Source organism: Homo sapiens, chromosome 15, assembly GCF_000001405.40.
Source record: "Homo sapiens chromosome 15, GRCh38.p14 Primary Assembly".
In the NCBI taxonomy this organism is placed as follows: domain Eukaryota; kingdom Metazoa; phylum Chordata; class Mammalia; order Primates; family Hominidae; genus Homo; species Homo sapiens.
Window position 1 is genome coordinate 98051848 of NC_000015.10, and position 26378 is coordinate 98078225.

Here is a 26378-nt window from a genome sequence, read left to right on the forward strand (position 1 = left end):
GGCTGTGATGCTGAATCCCCTGCTCCCCACTCTAGGATAGTCAGCCTGCCAACTTTCCACCAGCAATGCTTGTACTGGCAGACTGTAGAGCCCTTGGGAACAGGGCCACAGCTGGCAGGGCTGGGAGGTAGCAGCATGGCATTATACAGGGCGGACATTAGATATTTTATTCTGTTATGACCCAGTCTTTGGAGAGAGGTTGCTGCCTTTTCCCAAGACACAAGTAGTGACCACAGAAGTTCACAATTGTAACATATACCAATCGCTGGAGAGTCACTGAGAGCAGCAGCTTCTGCCAGGAAAGCAGAAGCTAGGGAAGGATTCTCTAGGGAAGCCTAGCTTGCCCGTATGTCAGACCCAGCCTTTCCCTGAGTGCATCTTCTCTGGCCTTCCCTATGATTCCTCTCCAGCTCTCACATGGCCATGCCAGGATGGTCACTTGCCTGCATGCCTTCTGGGAGGTTAGGATCAACTGAGGGCAGTGGAGACTTCAAAGAAGCACAGTGCACTTCTTCCCAGGATGGTGGATCACACAGAGCAGGGAGGAGAGATCAGACTATACTCTAAATATATTGAAGACCTTGCTGGTTTAAGAACAGAAAGGTAAAGAATCCCCTCATGCTTCCCTTCATTCACTGCACAAATATTTGATGAATGCTCATTATGTGTCTGGCATGGTGCTAGTTGCTGGAGGTACATTGGTGAGTTAAAATGTACTCACCAATGGTGAGAGTGGTGAGTCCTAGTCCCCACTCTCATTGAGTTTCAGATCAGTGAGGTAGAACTTAAGCAAATCAAGTCAGAAATTAAATGTGACAACCATGACTGGTGTTATGTAAGAATCACACAGGATGCCATGAGAGGGGGATTTTACCTGGTCAGGAAGGGCATCCGTAAGGAAGTTGCTATGGTTTGGTTCTGTCACCACTCAAATCTCATCTTGAATTGTAGCTCTTATAATCCCCACTTGTCATGGGAGGGGCCCAGTAGGAGGTAATTGAATCATGGGGGCGGGTTCTTCTCATGTTGTTCTCGTGATAGCGAATAAGTCTCATGAGATCTGATGGTTTTTTAAAGGGCAATTCCCCTGTACACGCTGTCTTGCCTCCCTTTAACCGTTCACCACGATTGTGAGGCCTCCCCAGCCACGTGAACTGTGAGTCAATTAAACTTCTTTTACTTTATAAATTACCCAGTCTCTGGTATGTCTTTATTAGCAGTGTGAAAATAGACTAATATAGAAGTGATCCATAAAATAAGGAGTTGAGCAAATGAAGAGAGGAGAAGGCAAGAGAAACAGTATACGCAAAGGCCCTTGGCAGGAGAAAGCACAGTGTACAAAAGGGAAATAATTCAGTGCCACTGCAGTAGAAAGTCAAGGACGAGGGAGAAGTGGTGCCAGGTAAGGCTGCAAAGATGAGGAAATTTACGGTGGGAACTTGGGGATCTTGACGTCAAACTAAACTCAACTTCTGAACTCCCTGGTTTTATAAACATTGATTATTGTATCTCATATTCCTTTAAAGCTTTTTAAGCTTTTTGAGATAATTGAAGATTCACATTTGTAAGAAACGATACAGAGAGAGCCCCTGTGCTATTTACCCAATTTCCCCCAATGGTGGTGTCTTGTAAAACTATAGTACAGTGTCACAACCAGGGTACTGACTTTGACACGGTCAAGACACAGAATATTTTCTTCCCCACAGGGATCTCTCATGTTGCCCTTTTATTATCACAGCCACTTCTTTCCTGCCCCTAACTCCTCCTTAACCCATTATTCTCCATTTCTATGATTTTATTATTTGAGAATGTATATAAATGGAATCAAATGGTATGTAACCTTCCAGCTTTTTTCACTCAGCCTGATTTTTCAGAGATTCATGTGGGCTATTGTTGTATCAACCATTTGTTCCATTTTTATTGGTGAATAGTGTCCCCATGATATGGATTTGCCACAATTTGTTTAACCATTCATCCATCGAAGGACCTCTGGGCTGCTTCCCAGTTTGGGGCTACTGCAAATAAAACTTCTATAAACACTCATGTGCAGGTTTCTGTGAGAATGAATGTTAAGTCTTCATTTTTCTAGGATAAATCTCCAGCAGTGCAATTGCTGGCTCATACGGTGGTTGCATATTTAGTTTTATATGAACCCACCAAACTGTTTTCCAGAGTCTCTGCACAATTTTTCAATTCCATCAATAATATGAGTGATCCAGTTTCTTCACATCTTCTCCAATATTTGGTGTTATCAATATTATTTTAGCCATTCTGATAGGAATGTAGTGATAGCTCCTTGTAGTTTTGAATTCTATTTCCCTAATGGTTAATGACTGAACATCGTTTCATGTGATTGGTCGCCATCTGTATGTCTTATTTGGGGAGATATCTCTCTTTATGTTTTTCATTCACGTTCTAATTAAATTGCTTCCATTTTCACTTGAGTTTTGAGGGTTCTTTACATAGTCTAGATTCTAGTCCCTTATTGGATATGTGGCTTATACAAATATTGTCCCAATCTGTAGCTTATCTTCTTATCCTCTAAATAGGGTCTTTAACAGAGCAAAAGTTTAAATTAGTGATGAAGCCCAACTTATTAGTTTTTCCTTTCATGGATCACACTTAAGGTTTCAAGTTTCAAAACGTTTTGCCTAGCCCTAGATCCCAAAGATGTCATTCTTTTTTAAATGAAAGTTTTACTTTTAACTTTTGAGTCTGTGATACATTTTGAGTTAATTTTTGGAGAAGACATGAGACTTAGATTGAGGTTATGTTTGTTTATTTTCCATGAATGTACAATTGTTCTAGCACCATTTGTTGAATCATCTTTGCATCTTTGTAAAAATCATTTGGGCATATATGTGCAGGACTATTTGGGATTCCTTATTCACTTATGTTTATCTGTGTGTCTATTTATCTTTCCATCTTTGCCACATAGTCTTGATTAATGTAACTATATAATGTCTCAAAATCTAGTAGACTTATTCTTTCCACTTTATTATTTTTCCAAATTGTTTTAGCTATTGTAGTCCCTTTGCCTTTCTGCAAAAAATTTTCAAACAATCTTGTCTGCAACTACACAAAAATCTTGCTAAGATTTAGAACAATTTTTAAACTAATATATTTATGGGCTACCTGTAGTATTTTGCTACATGCATAGAATGTGTAATTATCAAATCAGGATATTTAGGATATTGATAACCCTAAGTATTTACATTTCTATTTGTTGGAAACATTTCAAGTTGTTCCTTCTGGCTATTTTGAAATTTACAATACATTGTTGTTAACTATAATCACCTCACTCTGCTATTGAACATTAAAACTTACTCCTTCTATCTAACTGTATATTTGTATTCATTAATCTCTTCATTCCCCCAACCCCTCCCACAAGCATACTCTTTCCAGCCTCTGGTAACTATCATTCTATTCTACCTCAATGAGATCAAGTTTTTAATTTGCACTTATGAGCAAAAACTTGTGATATTTATCTTCCTGTGCCTGGCTTATTTCACTTAACAAACTAACCTCCAGTTTCATCCATGTTGCTGCAAATGACAAGATTTTATTCTTTTTATAGCAAACAGTATTCATTGTGTGTGTGTATATATACACGTGTATATATACACGTGTATATATATACATATATACACATATATATACACGTGTATATATACACATATATACATATATACACATATATACACACGTGTATATATACACATATATACATATATACACATATATACACACGTGTATATATACACATATATACATATATATACATATATACACACGTGTATATATACACATATATACACACGTGTATATATACACATATATACATATATACATATATATACACGTGTATATATACACATATATACATATATATACATATATACACGTGTATATATACACATATATATACATATATATATATATATATATATATATATATATATATATATATATATATATACACACACAGCATCTTCTTTTTCTATTCATTTGCTCATGGACACTTAGGTTGATTCCATACCTTTGCTACTGTGAATAGTGCTACAATAAACATGGGGCTCCAGGTACATGTTTGATGTATGGATTTTTGTTTGTTTTTTGATAAATACTCAATAGTGGGATTGCTGGATCATACAGTAGTTCTACTTTTTTATTTTTGCGAAATCTCCATGCTGTTTTCCATAATGACTATACAAATTTACATCATCCCCCAACAGTGTATAACCATTCCCTTTTCTCCACATCCTTGCCAACATCTGTGATTTTGTGTCTTTTTTATAATAACCATTCTAACAGGGTAAGGTGATATCTCATTGTGGTTTTGATTTCCATTTCTCTTGATGATTAGTGATGGTGAGCATTTTTTCATATACCTGTTGGCCATTTGTATGTCTTCTTTTGAGAAATGTCTACTCGTGTCCTTTGCCCACTTTTTAAATGGGATTATTTTTTTGCTGTTGAGTTCCTCATATATCTAGATATTAGTCCCTTGTTCATTGAATAGTTTGCAAATATTTCCCCCATTCGATAAATTGTCTCTTCACTCTGTTGATTGCTTCCTTTACTGTGCAGAAGCTTTTTAGTTTAATATGGTCCAATTTGTCTTATTGTGTTATTGTTGCCTGTACTCTTGAGGTCTTAGCCATAAAATCTTTGCTAAAACCAACGTCCTGGAGTGTTTCACTTATGTTTTCTTCTAGTAGTTTTATATGTTTGACTCTTACATTTAAGTTCTTAATCCATTTGCGGTCAATTTTTGTAAATGGTGAGAGATAGGAGAATAATTTCATTCCTCTACACATGTATGTCTAGTTTTCCTGGCACCATTTAGTGAAAGGGGTGTTCTTTTCCTACTGTATGTTCTTGGCACCTTCTTCAAAAATCAGTTGGCTGTAAATACATGAATTTATTTCTGAGTTCTCTGTTCTCTACCATTGGTCTATGTGTCTATTTGTATACTAATGCCATACTGTTTTGGTTACTATAACCTTGTAATATATTCTGAAGTCATGCAGTGTGATGCCTCCTGGTTTGTTCTTTTTGTTCAGTATTGTCTTGGTTATTTGGATTCTCTTTTTTTTGTTTGGTGGTTTTCTGTCATTGTAACATTTGAGTACTTTCTCTTCTTCATTTGTATGTTTGCTCCACCAGTGAGTTTTACACATCATGTGTTTTCACGAGGGTAGATATTGTCCTTTCACTTCCAGGTATAGGACTCCCTTAAGCATTTCTTCTAGGGTTGGCCTACTGGTAATGAATTCCCTCAGCTTTTGCTTGTCTGGGAAGGAATTTATTTCTCCTTCATTGATGAAGGATAACTTTTTTGGCTATAGTGTTCTTGTCAAACAGTTGTTGTCTTTCAGCACTCTGAATATGTCATACAATTCTCACCAGGCTGGTAAGGTTTCTGCTGAGAAATCTTCTGCTTGTCTGATGAATGTTCCCTCATATGTGAATAGATGCTGGTCTCTTCCTATTTTCAGGATTCTTTGTCTTTAACTTTTGACAATTTGACTATCATGTGCCATGGAGAAAACTTCTTAGGGTTGTATCTATTTGAGAGTTTGAGCTTCCTGTATCTGGATGTCTAAATCTCTTGCCAGACTTGGGAAGTTTTCAGCTGTTATTTCATTAAATAGACTTTCTAAGCCTTTGGCTTTCTCTTAATCTTCTGAAACACCCAAAGTTTGAATATTTGGTTGCTTGTGTCCCACCACACGGGTTATTTCTAAAGACCTGTCTTTAAGTTCTAAAATTCTTTCTTCTCCTTTAGCTCATCTATTGTTGAAATTCTCAAATGTATTTCTTATCTTATTCATTGAATTTTTCAGTTCCAGCATTTGTTTCTTTTGTTTTGTTCTGTTTTGTTTCTTTATTATGATAGCTATCTTTTGGGTCAATTTCTCCTTAATATCTTATTGTATACTAAGACACTAATATCTAATTGTATACTAAGATATATTGATATCTTTAGTATACTAAGTATTATAATCTGTATTTGGACATTATTTGATTTCTTTCATCTGTGTGTATAGTTTTGTCATAAAAGTCTTGTACATGTTTTGGTATATTTACACATAAATATTTCATCTTTTTGTGATTTTAAATGGTATTGTATTTTTAGCTTTAGTTTTCACATGTTCATTGCTAGCATATCAAATTTCAAGTGATTTTGTATGCATGTCTTGTATCTGGTGACCTTGCTGAAATCTTTTTACTTTTAGAAGATTTTTGTAGATTTTTTGAAATTTTTGATGTAGATAATCATGTCATCTACAAAGAAGGATGGTTTTTACTCCTTTCATAATTGGTATGCCTTGTGTTTTTTTTCTTGCTTAATTGCACTGGCTAGAATTGTAAATACTATATTGAGTAAGATTCATGAGAGCAGATAATCTTGTCTTATTCCCAGTCTTAGGGAGAAAGCATATATTCTTTCACTATTAAGTATAACGTTTGCTTTAGGCTTTGTAAAAACTTTTTATCGATTCAGGAAGTACTCTGGTTCCTATTTTTTCTGAGAGTTTTTGTCATATGAGTGTGAAATTTTGTCAAATAATTTTTCTTTATTCATTGATATAATCATGTGATTGTTATTCATTAGCATATTAATATGGTGGATTACACTGACTGATTTTCAAATATTAAACCAGTTGGAACATTATTGAATATACTGCTTAATATTGCTAACATTTTATTAATGATTTTTGGGTCTATATTCATAAGGAACATTTGTCTGTAGTTTTGGGGGGTCTTTTGGATTTTGTTTGTTGTAGTTTTGTATGTGGGAGTTCTTTGTTGATTGATTGTACTTTGTATGATTTTGATATCAGGGCAACATTAGCTTTATAATGTGTATTAACAAATGTCTCCTCTTGTATTTTCTGGAAGAGATTATATCAAATTGTTGTTAATTCTTCTGTAAACATTTGATAGAAATATTCAGTAAAGTTATCTGGGCCAGGAGATTTAGGTTGGGAGGTGCTTAAATTCATAATTCAATTTCCTTAGTAGTTACAGGATGATTCAAATTACTTAATATTGGATGAGTTGTGATAGTTTGTGTTTTTTAAAAGAATTGGTGATCCATTTCATCTAAGTTGTCAAATTTACATATACAGAGTTGTTTGTAATAATTCCTTATACCTTTGATATCTGCAGATTCTGCAGCAATATGTCCTAATTTCTGATATTGGTGATCAGAAAATTCTAATATTTTCTTTTTATCTTTATCAGTCTTTGAGATCTGACAATTTAATGATCAAAGCAGCTTTTTCTTTCCATTTTTCTGCTTTCAATTTTATTAATTTCTACTCCTATTATGTTTGCTATTATGCTTATTCTTTATTATTTCTTTATGATTCTTTATTCTTTACTCTTCCTAAGTTGTTGAGGTTGGAGTCTAAGTTGTTGATTTGAAATGTTTCCTCTTTTCTAGTGTAGGCAATTAGTGCTATAAATTTACCTTTCAGCATGCTTTATCAGTATCTCACAAATTTTGATATTTTATATTTTAATTTTTCTTCCATCTAGTGTAAATTTTATTTTCCTAGAGACGTCCTTTTTGTTTCATGGGTTCTTTAGATATATTCTTTATTATCATTTGTTTGGATATTTTCCTATCTTTCTGTTTATTGGTTTCCAGTTTGATTGCATTGTGATCAAAGAACACACTTTGTGTGATTTTGTGTCTCCTTAATTTGTTGAGGTTTTATAACCCAGGATATCTTCCAACTTGGAACAAGTTCTGTGGGTGCTTTAAAAAGAATGTGTTGAGTTTTTCATCAGTTTTTGTTTTGCATATTTCAAAGCTCTGTTGGTTGGTGCATACACATTTACAGTTACTATGTCTTCCTAGTGACTTGACTTTTTACCATTCTGTAAGGTTCCTCTCTTCTCTGGTAATTTTATTTTCTCTGAAGTCTACTTTATCTGATATGAATATAGCCATTTCTTTTTTTCTTTGACTTCTTACATGACATATCATTTTTAATCTTTTTTACTTTCAATTTGCCTATGTCATTATATTTGAAATAACCACGTCTTTCCCCCAACATTAGGGATTACAATGTAACATGAGATTTGGATGGGGACACAGAGCCAAACCGTATCATTACTCCCCTGGCCCCTCCCAAATCTCATGTCCTTCTCACATTTCAAAACACAATCATGCCTTCCCAACAGTCCCCCAAACTCTTAACTCAAAAGTCCAAGTCCAAAGTCTTATCAAGACAAGGCAAGCCCCTTCTACCTATGAACATGTAAAATAAAAAACAAGTTAGTTACTTCCAAGATACAGTGAGGGTACAGGCATTGGATAAATGTTCCCACTCCAAAAATGGGGCTACAGCCACCATGTAAGTCCAAAACCCAGCAGGGAAGTCACTAAATCTTAAAACCACAAAATAATTTCCTTTGACTTCATGTCGTCTCACATCCAGGTCACACTGATGCAAGGGGTAGGCCTCCAAGGCCTTGGGAAGCTCCAACCCATGGCTCTATACAAGGTACAGCCCCTGAAGCTGCTTTCAAGGACTGGCATTGAATGCCTACAGCTTTTCCAGGTGTGTGGTGCAAGCTGTCAGTATCTCTACTAATCTGGGGTCTGGAGCATGGTGGCCCTCTTCTCAAAGCTCCACTAGGCAGTGCCCCAGTAGAGGTTATCCATGAGGACTCCACCCCTGCATCAGACTTCTGCTTTGACTTCCAGGTGTTTCCATACATTCCTTGAAATGTAGGCAGAGGCTTCTAAACCTCAACTCTTGCCCTCTGTGCACCTGCAGGCTTAGCACCATGTTGAAGCCACCAAGGTTTGGGGCTTGCACTTTCTGAAGCAATGGCCCAAGCTCTACCTTGACCCCTTTTAGTCACAGCTGGAGCTGGAGCGGCCATGATGCAAGATGCCAAGTCCCAAGGCTGCACAAAGCAACTGGGGCCTGGCTGCTTCTAATAGCATACACTCATATGCATGAAGAGATTATCTGAAACTGGCACTTAAATTTTAAAGGGAAGCAGAGCATAAAAGTTTGAAAAATTTAAAGCCTTCCTATGTAGTTGAAAAGAAAACTCCATTTTCTGGGGGAGAAATTAATGCCTGCTGCAGAAATTTGCATAAGAGGAGCCAAATGTTAATAGCCAAGACAACGGGAAAAATGCCTCCAAGTCATTTCAGAGATCTTTGCAGCAGCCTCTCCCATCATAGGCCTGGGTCTAAAAGGGAAAAAATGTGTTTTTTTTGTATAGCCAAGCCTCATCTTGAATGCTTTGCTGCTTAGAAATTTCTTCCACTAGATACCCTAAATCATCTCTCTCAAGTTCAAAGTTCCACAGATCTCTAGAGTGAGGCGCAATGCCACCAATCTCCTTCTTTGCTCAAGTATAGTGGGAGTGATCTTTATTCCTTTTCCCAAAAAGCTCCTCATCTCCACCTGAGACCTCCTTAGCCTGGACTTCACTGTCCATATCGCTATAGCATTTTGGAGACAACCTTTCAACAAGTCTCTAGGAAGTTTCAAACTTTCCCTCATCCTTCTGTCTTCTTCTGAGCCTGCCAAACTGTTCCAACCTCTGCCTGTTACCCAGTTCCAAAGCTGCTTCCACATTTTCAGGTAACTTTATAGCAATGGCCCACTTCTCTGGTACCAAATTTTGTATTAGTTCATTCTCACACTGCTATAAAGAACTACCTGAAAAACTGGGTAATTTATAAAGAAAAGAGGTTTAATTAGCTTATGGGCCTTCCTTCTCTGATCCTTCCTAGGCTTCCATAACCTAAATGTTTGATCTTTTGTGACAATATCCACAGGTCTAAGGGGCTCTGTTTGTTTTCTCAATTGCTTTTTTCTCTATGGGTTACATTAGATAGTTTTGATTGTTCTATCTTCCAGTTCACCGATTCCTCTTTCTCCTCTGTTCTGCCATTGATCTCATCCACGGATATGGTTACTTTAGCTTTTGCACTTTTCATTGCTATAATTTTCAGTAGTTTTTTTATATCTTCTATTTATTTGCCAAGTCTCTTTTTTTTTTTTTTTTTACCTAAAGATGTTTATAATTGCTCATTGAAATCATGGCTGCTTAGAAATCTTCATTAGAAAAAAAATGTTGTTAGATATTTCTAACGTCTTTGTCATCTCAATGTTAGCATTTATTGATTGCTCTTTTTCATTTGGTTCAAGATACTTCTAATTATTGACATAAAAAGCAATTTTTATTGAAACCTGGGTATTTCACATTATGTTCTGAAATGATTTCATTTAAATTTTCTGCTTTATATGGCTCTCTTTGACACCACTCTGTCAAGGGAAGGGTTACTGCCACCTTGTTACTGCTAGGTAGGAGTAGAAGTCCAGGTTCTCCACTTTGTCTCCATGACACTCAAGGCAGAGAGGGCTCCTCACTCCTGACAAGTGGAAATAGAAGTTCTGTCTCTCCCCAGGGTCTTCACTGACATTGTGTTGGGTGAGAGCTCATTTCCAGTGAGAATGAAGGTCCTGGCTTGCTATTCGGCCTTTTCTGATGCCACCATGGTGAGGCTGTTGGGCAATCTAATTACAGCCTCATGAGAGTGAAAGTCTAAGCTCCCCATCCAGACTTTGCTGGAGTGGTTAAAAGTAAAGCCATTGTTTTTGCTTGGTGTTTGGGTGGGGTAGAGTGTTTGTTGCCCAAAACATTTTTGTCTTGCTAGGTCGCCCTGTTTCTGGTCCTTTGGTTAAAAACAGAAACCTTTTCTTGGAACTATTTTATCTGTGCCTAATGGTGCCCCCAGGTTACCAGCTTTTTCAGTTACAATTAAAGGACATATAAGGCAAAAAGAACATCCAATAAACTCACCACCATGTCATTCCTCGGGTGCCAAAGCCACTTTTCAGAGTCATCTTATGCTTGTTTTATATACAACATCCAAGGTACTTAATACATTTATGGCAGAAGAAGAAAAGTACATCTACTCCATCTCCTCCTGTATCATGTATCATTGGAAAATCCTTGAAAATGAGACCTGAGGAGATTTTGACATTTATATGAACTCACTTTGTTTTACGTAAGTAGGAAGCTAGAGAGACGTTGAAAGTTTATCCAAATTACACAGCTGGTCACTGCTGGATTTGTTGCTAGAAGCCAGGTGACCTGATGTTTAGCCAGAATTCTGTTATCTTTAAGTCCCACCCTGAGATAGCTCTTCACCACTAGACATGTTTGTGATATGACCAAAACCTCTGTGCTGACCTCAGCAACTCTAATGAAGTCAGACTAAGGTGATTTGACTTCGTGGTACCAAGCTCTAAGCATCCAAGCCAAGCAAAAGCCTGTCTACACTCAGCCTTAGGTGTTCCTGGGGAGAGTCTTAGGTTGGAAGACCCCTGGAGGGGAGAAAAAGGAATCAATGATTATTTTTTTCAGAACAAGAGAAAAATCACTTCAATGTGCCCTGTGTCTCCACCAGTTCTAAGGGTCTACCAGTTGGTGATTACTTTAATGGTCATAGATGCCAAAGGCAGAAAATTCAACAGATCCTTCTGGCCTTGTAGAGATATTAGGCAAACTTTTTTCGTTAAATTTCTATTCTCTGCTTTGGTCAGAGTTTTCAATATTCCAGTGAAACCATCTTAGCTATTTTCAGACAGACAAACCACAAGCCCAAAACCACAGAAGATGTGGGAAATGTTACAAGGGTGTGTCTCTTAATAGCCCTTCCTAAAATTAGCAAGGGCTCTTGTTGGAGTGACCATTTAAAATTATTTCTGCATTAATCCAAACAAAATGGCAATGTCGAAACTTTTAAAAATGCAAAGTTGCTGTCCCCCAAAGTAGGAGTTTCAGAGGACCAAAGCAAAAATACAAAGATTAGTTGTTCTTTCTGTACTTTACAGTTATTCTGACTCAAGGAATCATAGAGTTGTAAGGGTCAGGGGAGTCTTTGAATCCCCAACCTAGAGGTGAGGAAGGTGCAGGAGCACACACCGTTATGGCATCTGCAATGACTCTTCCCAATTACAGTGAGGTGTTAATTTCTTTTTGCCCTTCCTGTACCTCCCTTAGTCCAGCAGATAATAAGCCAATGCCCACAGCTCTTAGTCCAGCAGATAACCAGCCACAGCTTTGGGCAGAGCAAAGGTATAGCCCTTCTGCAGTGGTTCCTGGCAATTTTTCCCTAGGGATTGGAGAGTGATTCAGAAATAGCAGTGTCTTGACCTGAAACATAAAAAAACAGATTTCCATGAAACTGGTCCAGGACCAGTGGTGGGGGTGGTCAGGATATGAGGAACAGAAACCCCTTTGTTCTCTAAACACCAGGCAAGAGAAAGGGTGACTGAGGGTTTTTCTGGGCACAAAGGGTCCCAGGCACCTCAGAAAAGTCCCAGTGTTCCAAGCATGGCTTGGAATAACAGAAGCTCTGGACTGGAAGGTGCTTTGTACACCTGGATGACAAATCATTCCCTTATCCTCTGATTCCAGAGACCTGGTGCTATTTTGGAAGGGGTAGTCCTACAAAGGATGGTTGGATGAGGGATTAGCATAGAAATTGCTATTTTAGAAAAGGCAGTGGTGTTTGTTACTTCTCCCCTGGGTTTGTGGCCTGTAATTTATACCACAGAGGATATCACAGCATACTCCCATTAATCCTGACAGCATCCTGTGATGAGAAAAGTCAGATTCACAGAAGTTACATGATTCCCCTGAGGTCCCATGATCAGTCTGCAGAAGAATGGGATCTGCAACAAAATCAGACTCAAACCTACACGTTTTGCTCCACTCAAGTACCTTACTAAGGGGTAGTTAGTTTTTGCCAAGTTTAATCATTAGTTCTTGGAGAGCTCCATGGATGCAGAGACATGTCCAAGGGACAGGGGCAAAGAAACTCACTAGGTTTTTCCCTTTGCTCCTTTAAGAAATAGCTGCTTCTCCCAAGCCCCTGCTCCTTTGTACTGGATGAGAAGAGGAATGGTGTCTCTTTAACAATCTGCTCATTGCCTCAGCTCATTTCAACTCATATGCATTTGCATGTGAAAATTACCTTCCTCAGCTCCCAAATTGAGGTTTGCATGTGCAAGGAGAGAGGCTCCTTTCTTTGAAGCTTGAGAAGACATTGGTATAAAAAATAATTATTATTTCCATTCTGATGCTCACCCTCTGGCCTCTTGTACCTCACACATCAGAGCGTGCCGACAAGAAACCACACACCCCGGCAAACATTTGTTTTATTTTAAGTGTGGGGTCTAAGAGAGAAGCAGGTATTGCTTACCTCGAATTTAGTCTGACAAAACCTATACCCTACAACTGAATTTCTCATGTTTTCTTGTTTTGTGTCACTTTCTGATATCAGCGGTAATTTGATTTCATTTTTACAGAACCATTTTACCAAGAGGTGGTAGGATTCATCTTTTTTCTATAGATTGAAATAAAAATAAGGCACGAGGTACAGGAAGAACTTGGCTAAAGTCACTAACACCATAATCTGCTGACTGATGCAGGTGCAGAAGGCTGCTTCCTCCAGGTGCCAGAACATTCATTCAGAAGCCACTCTGGACCCCACAAGCTCCTGAGAGGTCCCAGCCTCTGCCTTCCCAACAGCGGGACCACAGACCCTACCATTTGGCTGAACAGCATCCTGAAGCGTTGTTTTCCTCCCTAGTAACTAGCCAGCTACTGGTATCCTCCTTTCCAAGACCTGGCTCTCACAACCTGGCTCTCTTGACCCACAAATTGCTCTGGATTTCACCCAAGCAAACAGAAAGGCAGGGACTAATTTGTTAGCACCACCTGCCTATGGTGATGAATCAATCACATTAACAGGCCCTCACTTTTGGATTTACAAAAATGGCTTTTAACCACGGTACTCATTTTCAGATTTAATTCTAACAACAGTCACTGGGTAGACACAGCTATCCTCATTGGAAATATGGAAAACCAAGGCTCAAAGAGTAATTTTTTCAAGATTCACAGCCAGTAAGGTGTAAAGACATAATCTTGGCAAACTCCCCTGAGGATAATGCAACTAGGGGAAGCAAGGAGTGTTCATACATTCACCCCACACACCATGCCTTCCCAAAGCAGGTCCAGAGGGTATTGAAGGCCCCATCCCTCCTCCCTTTCTGCCCAAGTCTCTGAAAATCATGAGGTACCAAAGAAAGGAGAATGAGCAGCTCTAGAGAAGGAGATAGCACCGAGGCTAAACAAGGGATCATCTGTTTATCACATCACATGTGGCTTCATCGCTTTTCTACCTTCTTTAAACTCCTTCTTTTGACTGGAGAGGCTGGGAGCCACAGCCCAGAGGGCTCTTTGCCTTTAACAAGGCTCTGAACATCCAGACCATGTAGCCAACAGCCCCTTGGCCACATTAAAAATCATTAACTGGGAGGCCATTAGACTAAAGCAGCTCCAGCTCCCTGGGTTCCTACATGAGCAAACCAAAACCTAATTCAGTGTAAATGGTAAAACTAACCTTAAGCTTCACCACTCAGAAACGGCCAAGCAACCTCTCACCAGGCAATCTCCACTGGAGTAATCCAAATAAGGCTATGGCTCCACATTAATTAATCAATCATTTTCTTTGACTCACTTCCAGGTTCACCCTGTAAGTCTTCCCCCCTCGTGCTCCTTCAGCAGAGCCCCCAAATGCTTGCAGTCTGGAGTTACCCAATTAATGAGTCAGTCTGCTCAAATAAAGTCTTTACATTTTAATGTGCTTCAGTTTATCTTTTAAAGGCTACCAAGAGGAACTGAGGAAGAATCAGTCTCTGCATAGAAGCAACACTCTTCAACAGGCATGCAACAGCAGCAACTGGGCACCTGTCAGACGAAAGCACTATGAGCTGTGTGGGACTCCAGAAACTAACAGCAGCACAGAACACTAGTGATGCTGTGGGTCCCCCAGAAGCATTTCCACAAGAGGAGCTTCACTGGACTCTCACTGAATGCCTCCGAGAAGTCTGTTGAGCAGAAACAATTACCCCCAATTAATACATGAATATAACTGGGGCTCAGGGAGTTTACATAAATAGGTAGGTAGATATCCTTCATTCAGTATTCTCCACAGGACAGGCATTACAGTGTCCATTTCCATGAATAATCTTTCAATCCTCACAAGAGTCCTATGGTGTCCACCTTAAAGAGGAAAAACTCCGAAGTTTGGAGAGATTATGTGATGTGCCCAAGGTCATTAAGCCAGCAGTGGGATGGGGTCCCACACTCAGGTCTTCTGGCCTCAAGTCCAGAGCTCTGTCTACAACTCAGCAAAGGCCAAATTTTATCCCCAAGCCTCCTAGAAACTCCTAAGTAGTCACTAACACAGCATATATCCTTTATAGGCTTGTCAGAGCCCCCAGATAGACACAATGACACAACATGTTAAGTGGCATGCTTCAAAGAAGGAAAATATGAGTCTGCATGTTAATTTGGGAAAGCCTATTCCCAGTAAATAAGTGTTTAAGGCCTGGACTTCAGGGAGTTTCCAGGATGGATGGTACATAGAAATAGGCAGGGGTGGGAGGTCAGACTTTCCCTAGAGTTGAATTTTTTCTTGAATATTTTGGTCCAATTTATGGTAAATTCTGTTTATACACAAGGCCTTCTGAAGTGGATTTTAATCTCTCAATCTGGAGTTAGAGCACGCAGCAGCAACTGCCTTATAAACTGCAGAGGAAGTGAAAGATGATAGCTGTAATATAACCGTTTCATTCAGCATAATAGGAAATAAAGTGGAATGGGTGATTGGAGCAGATACGGCACAGAGCAAGTACCAAGCATTACTCACACTCTTGAAATGATCACAATTACATGCATCTCCTCATGACTTGGGCAAAATAACCCATGAAAGAATATCTGCTGAATGTGAAGTTGGGGGAACAGGAGGTTTTTAGGAGGGGAACAGGATTCATTACACTCTACATCTTAAAGACACAAATCCACTTGACCAAGGGATGTCTGTGCATTAGCTCCAGTGCACCTCGGAATCCCTGGAGGATGATACAGCACTTCACAACTGAGCCATGGGATGAGAGGCTGGTTTGGATCTCTGTCCTGGACAAGAGAGCCTGCTACACCCAGGCTGGTTAAAGCAGTAATCCTGGAGATGCCAGTAGGAACTCCCACATGGCCTCTGATTTCTTTACTCTTTATACTGAGAATGGGTATGACTGAGTTATCCAAATGAGGTCTCTTCTTGGAAGATGCAGCATCTGCTTTGAGTGTGCCTGCAAGCCCTACCCTCCTGCACTCCTGTAAATAAAGTGCAGCACCACATACTCTGGTCAAGGAAGGGCTCTGTTCGGAGACAACTGCTGTATTGCATCTATGGTGGCATAAGAGAAGTCTCTAAATTTCCAGCAGTCCTAAAGAGCAGATGATAAGGTCACAGAAGACAGTGACTCAAGGCCAACGTCATGCAACTCGCAGGTCTTCCCTACCCTGCAGCCCTGAGCTCTGGGCTTATCCCCAGAAGTCCCACCTCTTATAAGCTTTACCGGGAGCCTAAAATCATGAGAAACCTCAGGCTTCCTGGATAAAGACCAAGAGAGCATGCCAAAGAGGACACCGTTTCTCTAAACCCAACCTGTGAAGGAAGACCTGGGATAAATTACTTGACCCTCTGCTAAGGAAATATGTCCAGTGGGGGAATATCTGTCACCTGCCAACTTAAAGCCCTTCAGAATCTGTCTGCCACCTTGGGTATGCAGTGCACACCCCACCAAGCACCAACCCCAAGGGTGCTCCACTTCCAAAAGCCTCTGTGGTTCAACTTGTTTGAGATGCACTCCCAGGTCCAACCTCCTCTTGGAGACTCACAGTGCATGCAAGCATTGTAAAGGCTCTGAGAAGTCCCAAAGTACATAAATCCACTCCTCCTGCAAATTCCTTTTGATTTGAGCATCCCGTCATCAATTTTGCAGAGCATGGTGAGCTAATTTATTGAGAGAATCTGATACATTTCCATGCTGGTGGAAGAGTCCAATAAAAGAGAGCTCTGCTCCCCATCTTAGGCCATTGTGTTGCAGACATGGGACTTCCTTTGTGTCTAAGGTCAAGTTTAAATATCTTTGCATTTAAAAAAATTAACTGGCACAAGAAGTAGAGTGGGGCTCTAGAGTTTGAGGGAGGTAGACTTCAGCATCAAGTCCTAATGAGAAGAGATTTATCGAACAAGAAGAGGCCTCTAGCTTGGAGTTTAGAGTTTCTGTCTTGAGAAGGGACAGTCTCTGAGTGAGGGGATGGTGGACATACAGGTCCTGTGCACCTGCAGCTAAGCCTCAGGAAAGACTCAAATGGACAAGTCTGGCTGGAAATGGGGAAGCTACCCCCCGCCACACACAAACACACACCACCACCACCATCAAAAGGGGCCATGCTGGCTTAGAAACTGAGCATGAGTGGAATTTAGTGTGCACCAATTACAGAAAGCCCTCCTCAAGCGTTCCAGTATGTGTCAGTTCCCTGCAACCTTCCCACGGTGGGTGAGTAGGAGGACGATGCCCCTTAGATAATTATGCTTAAATTTTCTACCTCACAAGTGCATGGTAGGTTCAGTCAGATTTAATTAGATTTGCAGAAACAGAGTAATAAGACTTTCCTTACACTTCAGTCTCACTGTGACTGCATATTCAAACTGCACCCCAGGAGTTACACATACCAACACTCCATGGAATTTGTTTCCTGCATATTACTCATTAGGAAATGCTTGAGAGGTTTGACTTTGTTCTTTTCCCCAAATCTTTACCTCCTTTCCATCCCTCTGTAAATAAGTTGAGGAAAAACGTTATTCTAGTAATTAAATAAATATGACCTCAAATAGAGCTGAATGTCAACATTCTTTCAAACATCTGCACCAAAAGTAAAAACCTGATTTGGCCTTTTTCATTTCACATTTTGGAATACCTGGATATTTGACCTCTCACACAGACAGCCAAATTTTCTTCCATTAATTTCTTCACTACTTTGACCTGAACGAAAATTTTTGAATCTATTCACCCGTTTTATGAAAGTAAATTACCATGAATTGAGTTTTTAAAATAATCTTAGGATTAAAGTCCTAGAAAAAAATGTTCATGATATATTGATAAGCAAAATGTAAGTCAACAAACAGAATGCTCCACATATACAGTCATGTTCTATAAAGTTGCTGCCAACACTGAATTAGCAAATATCGAACCACTGCTCCTAAAGGAAACAAAGGATTAGGTTCCTGTGAGCCTCTGGTCACAATATTTTTATTAATAGATTAATACATAATCTTTGTTTCTTGTGTTTCTGCTTAAATAAGCCTTATTTAGTATACATTATTGCTTCACTAACTGGAACTCACTACTGACAGCACTGTAACTTGCTTAGGTCTGAAGGAAACTTATCTAATACACATGACTTTCTCTGTGCAGTACACTACAGCCATCCTGAGTGCAGGAACACTAGCCAGCACTTCAGCACTACTCTTGGGGGCCATTTCAAAAGGCAAGAACACCAGCAAAAACACAGAAATGCAAAATATGCGACACTAAACAGACAATGAAAACCACATTTGTTTACAATATGAGAGCTCCAACAGTAAGGCAGAGCTTCTCTGTATTCAGCCTCAGCTGGGAATGTGGTCCTCAGAGAACTCAAACATTTTGCCTCTCTGCACATGTCTGTGAATGGCCATGACAATGGCATGAGTATTGATTTGGCGGCTACAAAAAAATTTCAATAAGTGAATTTGCAAATACAGAATCCACAAATAATGAGAAACAACAGTACTATTTTTATAATCATAAAGAATGTTATTAAACTTAAAATCTTGGCCCTCATGGGATGACAAGAATAGTGATTGTAGTATACACATACTCAGTGTGTTCTGAGCAGCACAATCCAAATTTCTCTCCTTATATTAGACACAATTGCTCCATTTTGCTGATAATGAACACAATTGGATTTTCCCTTCTGATTCTACCCTTTTCCATTGATCCTATAGACATCACAAGAAACAAATGTGGCCCCATTTTCTTTTATCATAAATTTATGATTATAAGAAGACACTCCCCCATTTTCCCAATGTGAAAATTTTAATATAGGATCCTTAAATGATGCAAATAAGCTTGCAATATTTTAGAACAAGTAGCCAATGTAGTTGCACATAATTTTAACCTTACAAATCACAGAATAAGGTGTTATTTTTAAAAGATTGCTTTTTTTTGCTAAGTATTTCATAAGAGAATTTTATTCAAACTGCTCACATATTTTAACGTCCATTTCTCCAGCATCCCTGGAACCAGATTTTTAACCATTATATGCCATTTTGCATTTATGTCCGCTTCCCTTCTAAGTTGCTATACACACTTTTAAAACATATAAATGGGACAATCACTCTAATTTTTATCCCAAGCTTCAAGTATCCACTGGCACAACATTAGGATAGTGCTATGCCTCAAATCTCCTGTGGCGATCTGACAAAATATTTCTTTTTAACGTGTCCTTCAAAAGCTAATCTACAATTAATGACATTTCAAATGCTGAAGTCTTCTTCCTAAGGATGATTACTACTCAAGTATTAATATTCTTTCCCACTCCCACTCTTCTTCTCCCATTCTTCCTGGTGACCTATGAGAGTATCCTAAACTAGAATTGATTGAAATCATTTAAGGCTAAGTGTGTCTTCCTTACACAATTCATATTGTTCAAAGTAAAACAACTAAGATACTGTCCTATAATAGAAGATAATTTGTAAGGATTTGAATATTGGGCAACTCCTTCCTTTCGGGAAAATAATTCAAGGGAGGGGAGGAGGAAAATCTTCCTTACATCTGGGCACATATTATAATTTTATTCCAAGAAACTAACAAAGCCTCTCCATAGGCCATGGGCCCCTCCTAGAAAATCTGACCTCCTATTTCCCAAACCTTGATAAACCATGCCTTTATCCATGTATCTGGTGGTGAGGAAAAGCTAGCAGGGAATTAGTACACAGGGTGATGGAACTGGATATTAGATTTTTGTCAGGTAATAGTTTGCAAATATTTTCTCTCATTCTGTGGGTTGTCTGTTTAATCTGTTGATAGTTCCTTTTGCTGTGCAAAAGCTCTTCAGTTTATTAGGGCCCACTTGTCAATTTTTGGTCTTGTGGCAATTGCTTTTGAGGACTTAGTCATAAATTCTTTGCAAGGCTATGTGCTGAATGGTATTCCCTGGATTTTCCTCTAGGATTTTTATTGTTTGAAGTCTTACATTTAAATCCTTGATTCATCTTGAGTTAATTTTTGTATATGGTGATAAGTAGGGGTCCAATTTTACTCTTTTTGGTTTCATGTGAATTTTAGAATAGTTTTTTTCTAATTCTGTGAAGAATGACATTTGTAATTTGATAGCACTGAATCCATAGATTGCTTGGGGCAGTACGGCCATTTTAACAATATTAATTCTTACAATATACAAGCATGGAATGTTTTCCCATTTGTTTGTGTCATCTCTGATTTCTTTCAGCACTGTTTTGTAGTTCTCTTTGTGGAGATTTCACCTTCTTGATTAGATGTATTCTTTGGTATTTTATTTTTTGACACTATTGTAAAAGGGATTGGGTTCTTAACTTGGCTCTCAGCTTGAATGTTATAGATGGATAGACATGCTACCAATTTTTGTACATTGACTTTGTGTCCTGAAACCTTGATGAAGTCATTTATCAGGTCAAGGAATTTTTTGGATGAGTCCTTAGGGTTTTCTAGGTATAGAATTATATCATCAGCAAAGACATGATTTGAAATCTTATTTTTCCTATCTGGACGCTTTTTATTTCTCTTGCCTGATTGCTCTGGCTAGGACTTCCAGTACTGTTATTTAGGAGTAGTGAGAATGGGCATCTCTGGCTTATTTTTGTTCTTAAAGGGAGTGCATCCATCTTTTGCCTGTTCAGGATGATGTTGGCTATGGGTTTGTCATAGATGGCATGAGGTATGTTTCTTCAATGCCAAGTTTGTTGAGGGTTTTTATCATGAAGGGATGTTGGGTTTTGTGGAAACTTTTCTCTGTGTCTATTGAGATAATCATATGGTTTTTGTTTTTAATTCTTTATGTTTGTGAGTCACATATATTTTCATATGTTGAACCAACCCTGCATCCCAGGAAGAAAGCCTACTTGATTGTGATAAAATAACTTTTTGGTGTGCTGGTGGATTCAGTTTGCTAGTATTTTGTTGAGGATTTATGCATCTATGTGCATCAGATTGGCCTGTGGTTTTCTTTTTTCATTGTGTCTTTGCATACAATCAGTTAGGGAAGAGTTCCTCCTCCTCGATTTTTTGGAATAATTTCAGAGTTCGTACCAGCAATTTTCCGTTATGTCTGGTAGAATACAGCTGTGAATGTATCTGGTTCAGGGCTTTTTATGGTTCACTTCTGACTGATTCGATTTTGGAATCTGATATTGGTCTGTTCGAGATTTTAATTTCTTCCTGATCCAATCTTGGGAAGTTGTGTTTCCAGGAATTTGGCCATTCCTCTACATTTTCTAGTTTGTATGCATAGATGTGTTCATAATAGTCTCTGAGGACCTTTTGTATTTCTCTAGAATTGATTATAATATCACTTTTGTCACCTCTGTGCTTATTTTTTACAGTCTATCAAGCTTGCTTATTTTTTCAAAGAGCCAACCTTTGGTTTTATAAACCTTTTGTATGGAATTTTGGGTCTCAATTTCATTCTGTTCTGCTCTGATTTCAGTTATTTATTTTCTTCTGCTAGCTTCGGGGTTAGTTTGCTCTTGCTTTTTAAGTTCCTCTAGGTGTGATGTTAGAGTGTTAATCTGAGATCTAAATTCTTAATGTAGGCATTTAGAACTATAAACTTTCCTCTTAATACTTTTGTTGTATCCAGAGATTTTGCTATGTCATGTTTCTGTTTTCATTTATTTCAAATACTTTTTTAGTTTCTGCCTTAATTTTGTTGTTTACCCAGAAGTCATTCAGGAGCAAGTTGCTTAATTTCCTTGTAATTTTGTGGTTTTGAGAGATCTTCTTAGTCTCTTCTTCCTGGTATTGATTTCTACTTTTATTCCACTGTGGCCCAAAGTATGGCTGGTATGATTCCGATTTTTTTAACATATTGAAATGCTTTATGGCTTAACATGTGGTTGATCTTACAGTACGTTTTATGTGCAAATGAGAAGAATGTATATTCTGTAGTTGACGGATGGAGTGGTTGGTAGATATCTATTAGGTCCAATTAGTCAAGTGTCGAATTTAAATCTAGTATTTCTTTGTTAGTTTTTTGCCTCAATGATGTGTTGAACACTGTCAGTGGAGTGTTGAAGTTTCCCACTATTACGGTGTGGACTATATAAGACTTTTCATTGGTCTGGAAGTACTTGCTTTATAAATCTGGGTGCTCCGATGTTGGGTATTTATATATTTAGGTTAGTTAAGTCTTTTTGTATTGAATCCTTTATCATTACATAATGCCCTTCTTTGTCCTTTTTTTACTGTCGTTAGTCTGTTTTATCTGATATAAGAATAACGATCCCTGCTCTTTTTTCATTTGTGTGATAGATCTTTCTCTACCTCTTTACTTTGAGCCTATGGGCATTGTTACAAGTAAGATAGGTCTCTTGAAGATGGCAGATGAATGGGTCTTACCCTTTTTTTTTTTTTTTATCCAACTTGCCACTGTGTGCCTTTTAAGTGGAGCATTTAGACTATTTACATTCAAGGTTAATATTGATATGTGAGGTTTTGATCTTATTGTGGAGTTGTTAGCTGGTTACTTTGTAGTTTCTATTGTGTAGTTTCTTTTTAGGGTCTATGGACTACGTACTTAAGTTTCTTGTGTGAAAACCCATTTTTTAAAAAATATGGAATGCTTCATGAATTTGTCATCCTTGTACAGGGGCCATGCTAATCTCTGTATTGTTCCAATGAAAACCCATTTTTGAATGGCCAAAAAAATTACTCTATGAACAGCCTCTCTAAAGAAGAGGTTCATATGGCAAAGAAACCTACAAAGAGATGCTCAGAGTCATGAGGAAAATAATCAAAACCACAAAGACATACCACTATATACATATTAGAATGGCTAATTTTTTAAGTGACAATACTTAGAGCTGGTGAATACATGAAGCAACTGGAACTCTCCTAAATAGTACTTAGTATTGGTAGGGATGAAAAATGGTGCAGCTACTTTAGACAAGAGTTTGGTAGTTTTTATAAAAGTAAACCTCCACCTGCCATATGACCCAGAAATCCCACTACTAGGTATTTACACCAGAGAAGTAAAAACATACATTCACACAAAGATCTGAATGTTAATGCTCATACATACTTGATTTGGAATTGCCAACAATTAGTAAATGACCCAAATGTTCCTCAACTGGTGAATGGATAAACAAATTTTGATATATCCATGCACTAAAATGTTACTAAAATAAAAAAAAGAAGAACTTATGCTGAAACCACATGAGTGAATCTCAAAGCATGTTATGTGAAAGCAGCTAGATACAAAAGCCATCATGCTATCTGATGCCATTTATACAATCCGGAAAAAGTAAAACTATAAGGAGAGAAAATAGATAAGTGATTATCAGAGGCTGGGAATGAAAAAAGGAGGCTGACTACAAAGAGGCAAAAGGTAACTTTATAGGGGATTCAGTGGTTATTACACAATTGAAAATTTTACTGTATGTAAATGATTCCTCAATAAATCTGACATCTCAAGGTTACTATGGGCAGCATAGCAGGCTATCTAAACTGTTTATCAAACAGAGAAGAAAGAATAATGAAAAACTCATAACTTCCTGGAAACATGTCTGGCCATCTCCCTTCAAAGATGCTAAAGTCTCTACAAGTTCAGACAAGGCCTTGGTTGAACTGTTTCTTATGGGAAAAGCATTTAATATTATCATCCACCCCAAATACTAAGTGATGATATTATCTTTCCCTACTAGGGAGAGATATTTCAAGTATAAATGTGATTTTAATTAGATGCTCCTCTTTCCAACCCAGTTATGAATTCAGTTTCACCCATGTAAGAAGTAGATGGGAGAACTTGATTAAAGCCAGTCACTGGGAAAACAGCATTAGCATAGATGTGGAACCTCAGAAGCATATAACAGGTATACTTTTATAACCTTGTCCATGACATTGACAATTATGATCTCAATGGGCATTTCTATTTTGCCTTTTCAGTAAGTTCATAATATACTACAAAAAGTCCACTTGATTAATGTTCAATTTTAAAATATGAGATCAAAGAAACACAAAAACCTATTCAAATGCTGTGCTAAGATGCTCTGTCTTCAATAATACTGAATTAGTACGAGCTTTTGGCTATTGACTTCATTACTTTGACAGCTGAAATAACATGTTCATGCCTTACGTCTGTCTTGACTGTTTGGGGTTAGAAAAAGAATGCCAGGTTATGCATGGTATTTTCTAAATTAACTTGAGCTCTGCATTTGTCTACAGGCCTACGAGGTTCAATCCGTAGGCTTGGTACCTGAGGAGGTGGCAGGCACAAGTGGAAGTTTCCGCTTGGCTAGGTGCCATTGTCATAAGAAGCCAGTGTCACCTCTTGTAAAGGAATTATTTAATCTTTTAAAACAGATTCAGTAATAAATTCTACCCTGAAAGAGATAAATTAGTGCATAAAGTACAAAAAGTAATCCCTTTGATAAGCATGCTATCATGCTTATCTATTTTCTGTCATGACTGTGAAATCAGAGTGAAAATTTAACACTGATTATAAACATCTTAAAATTTAAAGTTGCAAGAAAAAAAAAGAGGTAGTGATGGTGATGAAAATTGCAGTGTCATGGCTAGTTCAGAAAAACTTCTTCAGAGTGCTGCAGGCTTCCAGGAACAGCAGAGGGAGGGGCCGTGCCTGTCAGACCAGAAATAGCAGCAGGCCAAAGGGCCTGTTGTCCATTCCTCCCAAACCTCCACCAACAGAAAACCCCCTGGATGATCCGAGTAACCCGAACATCTTTCCTTTATTTCACTTATAAAAGAAAAGGCAAATTTCAACACAGGAAGTTAACCGTGACCTGGTGAACTGAACCCAGAAGATGGACTGCTCAAAATACCACGAAAAGACTGAAATGATTTAAGAAAATGACAAAGAAAAAGAGAAGGAGAGAGGAAGCCACGATGAAGGAGAGAGAGCGATAAAATTTTGGAATCTGCAGAGCCCTGGGCCAAAAATGCAGGCACTCAATTTGGAGGGTGGGGGGCAGGAGCACAGCAGTTCTTCTCCTCTCTGACCCTTCCTGAGAGCTCAGGGCCTGAACACACCTGTCATGGGTGGGGAAAAGGGCTTACGAACAGGTGTGCATTTCAGCCTGCAACAGAGGAGCTGTGAACCCCAGGATCCCATCCAACCCCATGCAGCAACTACCACCCTCCAAGCCCGCAGGGCCCATTCTGGAACAGCTAAAACAAAGAGGTCTGATCTGCTCTGGAGATCAGGGAAATGGATACAGAAGTATAAGGCAGATGACTGGAAACAGGGATCAGGGAATGGTAGCGAGATCTGCCTTCCCACCCCTGTGAGTCACTGGCTGTGCCCCACCTACACACCAGCACGCATGTGCAGCCAGGCAAGAGAAACGACGCGCATGGGATTCCCTCCTCCAGAAGGAGGGAATTTCACAGTATTTCATGGTATTTAACTTTTTCTCTGATTTGGTGAATTTATGAAAAGTGTCATCACGTGTCAGGAGCTGCATGGAGGACGAGGCTGTTTAGATTATGTAATACTTGATAGAGACAATAAAACAGATATAATGTATGTCAGAGTTAAGAGGCATACTCACAAAACCAGTACCCCAACTCAACCACCAAGCTCAGAAAGAGACCACGCCCAACATAGGGAAACCCCTTAAGACCCCCTGACTGCATCCCTCTGCCTCTGCCTCAGAGGGAACAATTATTTCTAGTTTTCTGCTTATCCTTCTCATTTTTTTTTAAGAAAAAGATTTTTTTCAGATTACGTCTGTATTCCTAAACAATATACTCTTTAGCTTTGCTTGCATATTAGCGTGATAAAAATGGTATCATCCCATATTACTGACTCTGAAGTTTTGAGGCTCACTGTCACCCATCCATTTCATGATGGTGGCAGCTTTGGGTCATTGATTTTGACAGTTGTATCATATCCCACTGAGTAAATATACCCAGCTTTTATTCATCTATTTTCCGATGGTTGGACATCTACATTATTCTCATTCTGGCTACTACACCAAGGCAGCTAAAGACATTCTGTTGTACATGCTTTTTTAGTACTCAGCGGCAGGAATTTCTCCTGGGTATATAATCAGTGGGTTCATAGGACTTACTTACATTTAAGTTTATAAGATAGGCTCTTTGAAGTGCTTGTATCAGCTTACACTCATGCCAGCAGTGTAAGTTCTT

General features: G+C 38.6%; 1 pseudogene, besides 1 other annotated feature; it reads right to left on the reverse strand.

Annotated features, from left to right (window-relative positions):
* Positions 22820-22916, reverse strand: RNU6-1186P (RNA, U6 small nuclear 1186, pseudogene; annotated as a pseudogene).
* Positions 25393-25687: an enhancer, noted in NCBI's record as "tiled region #12410; HepG2 Activating non-DNase unmatched - State 24:Quies, and K562 Activating DNase matched - State 5:Enh". NCBI's record gives its function as "activates a minimal TATA promoter and a strong SV40 promoter by Sharpr-MPRA in HepG2 and K562 cells {active_cell/tissue: HepG2 | K562}" and the evidence as "EXISTENCE:reporter gene assay evidence [ECO:0000049][PMID:27701403]".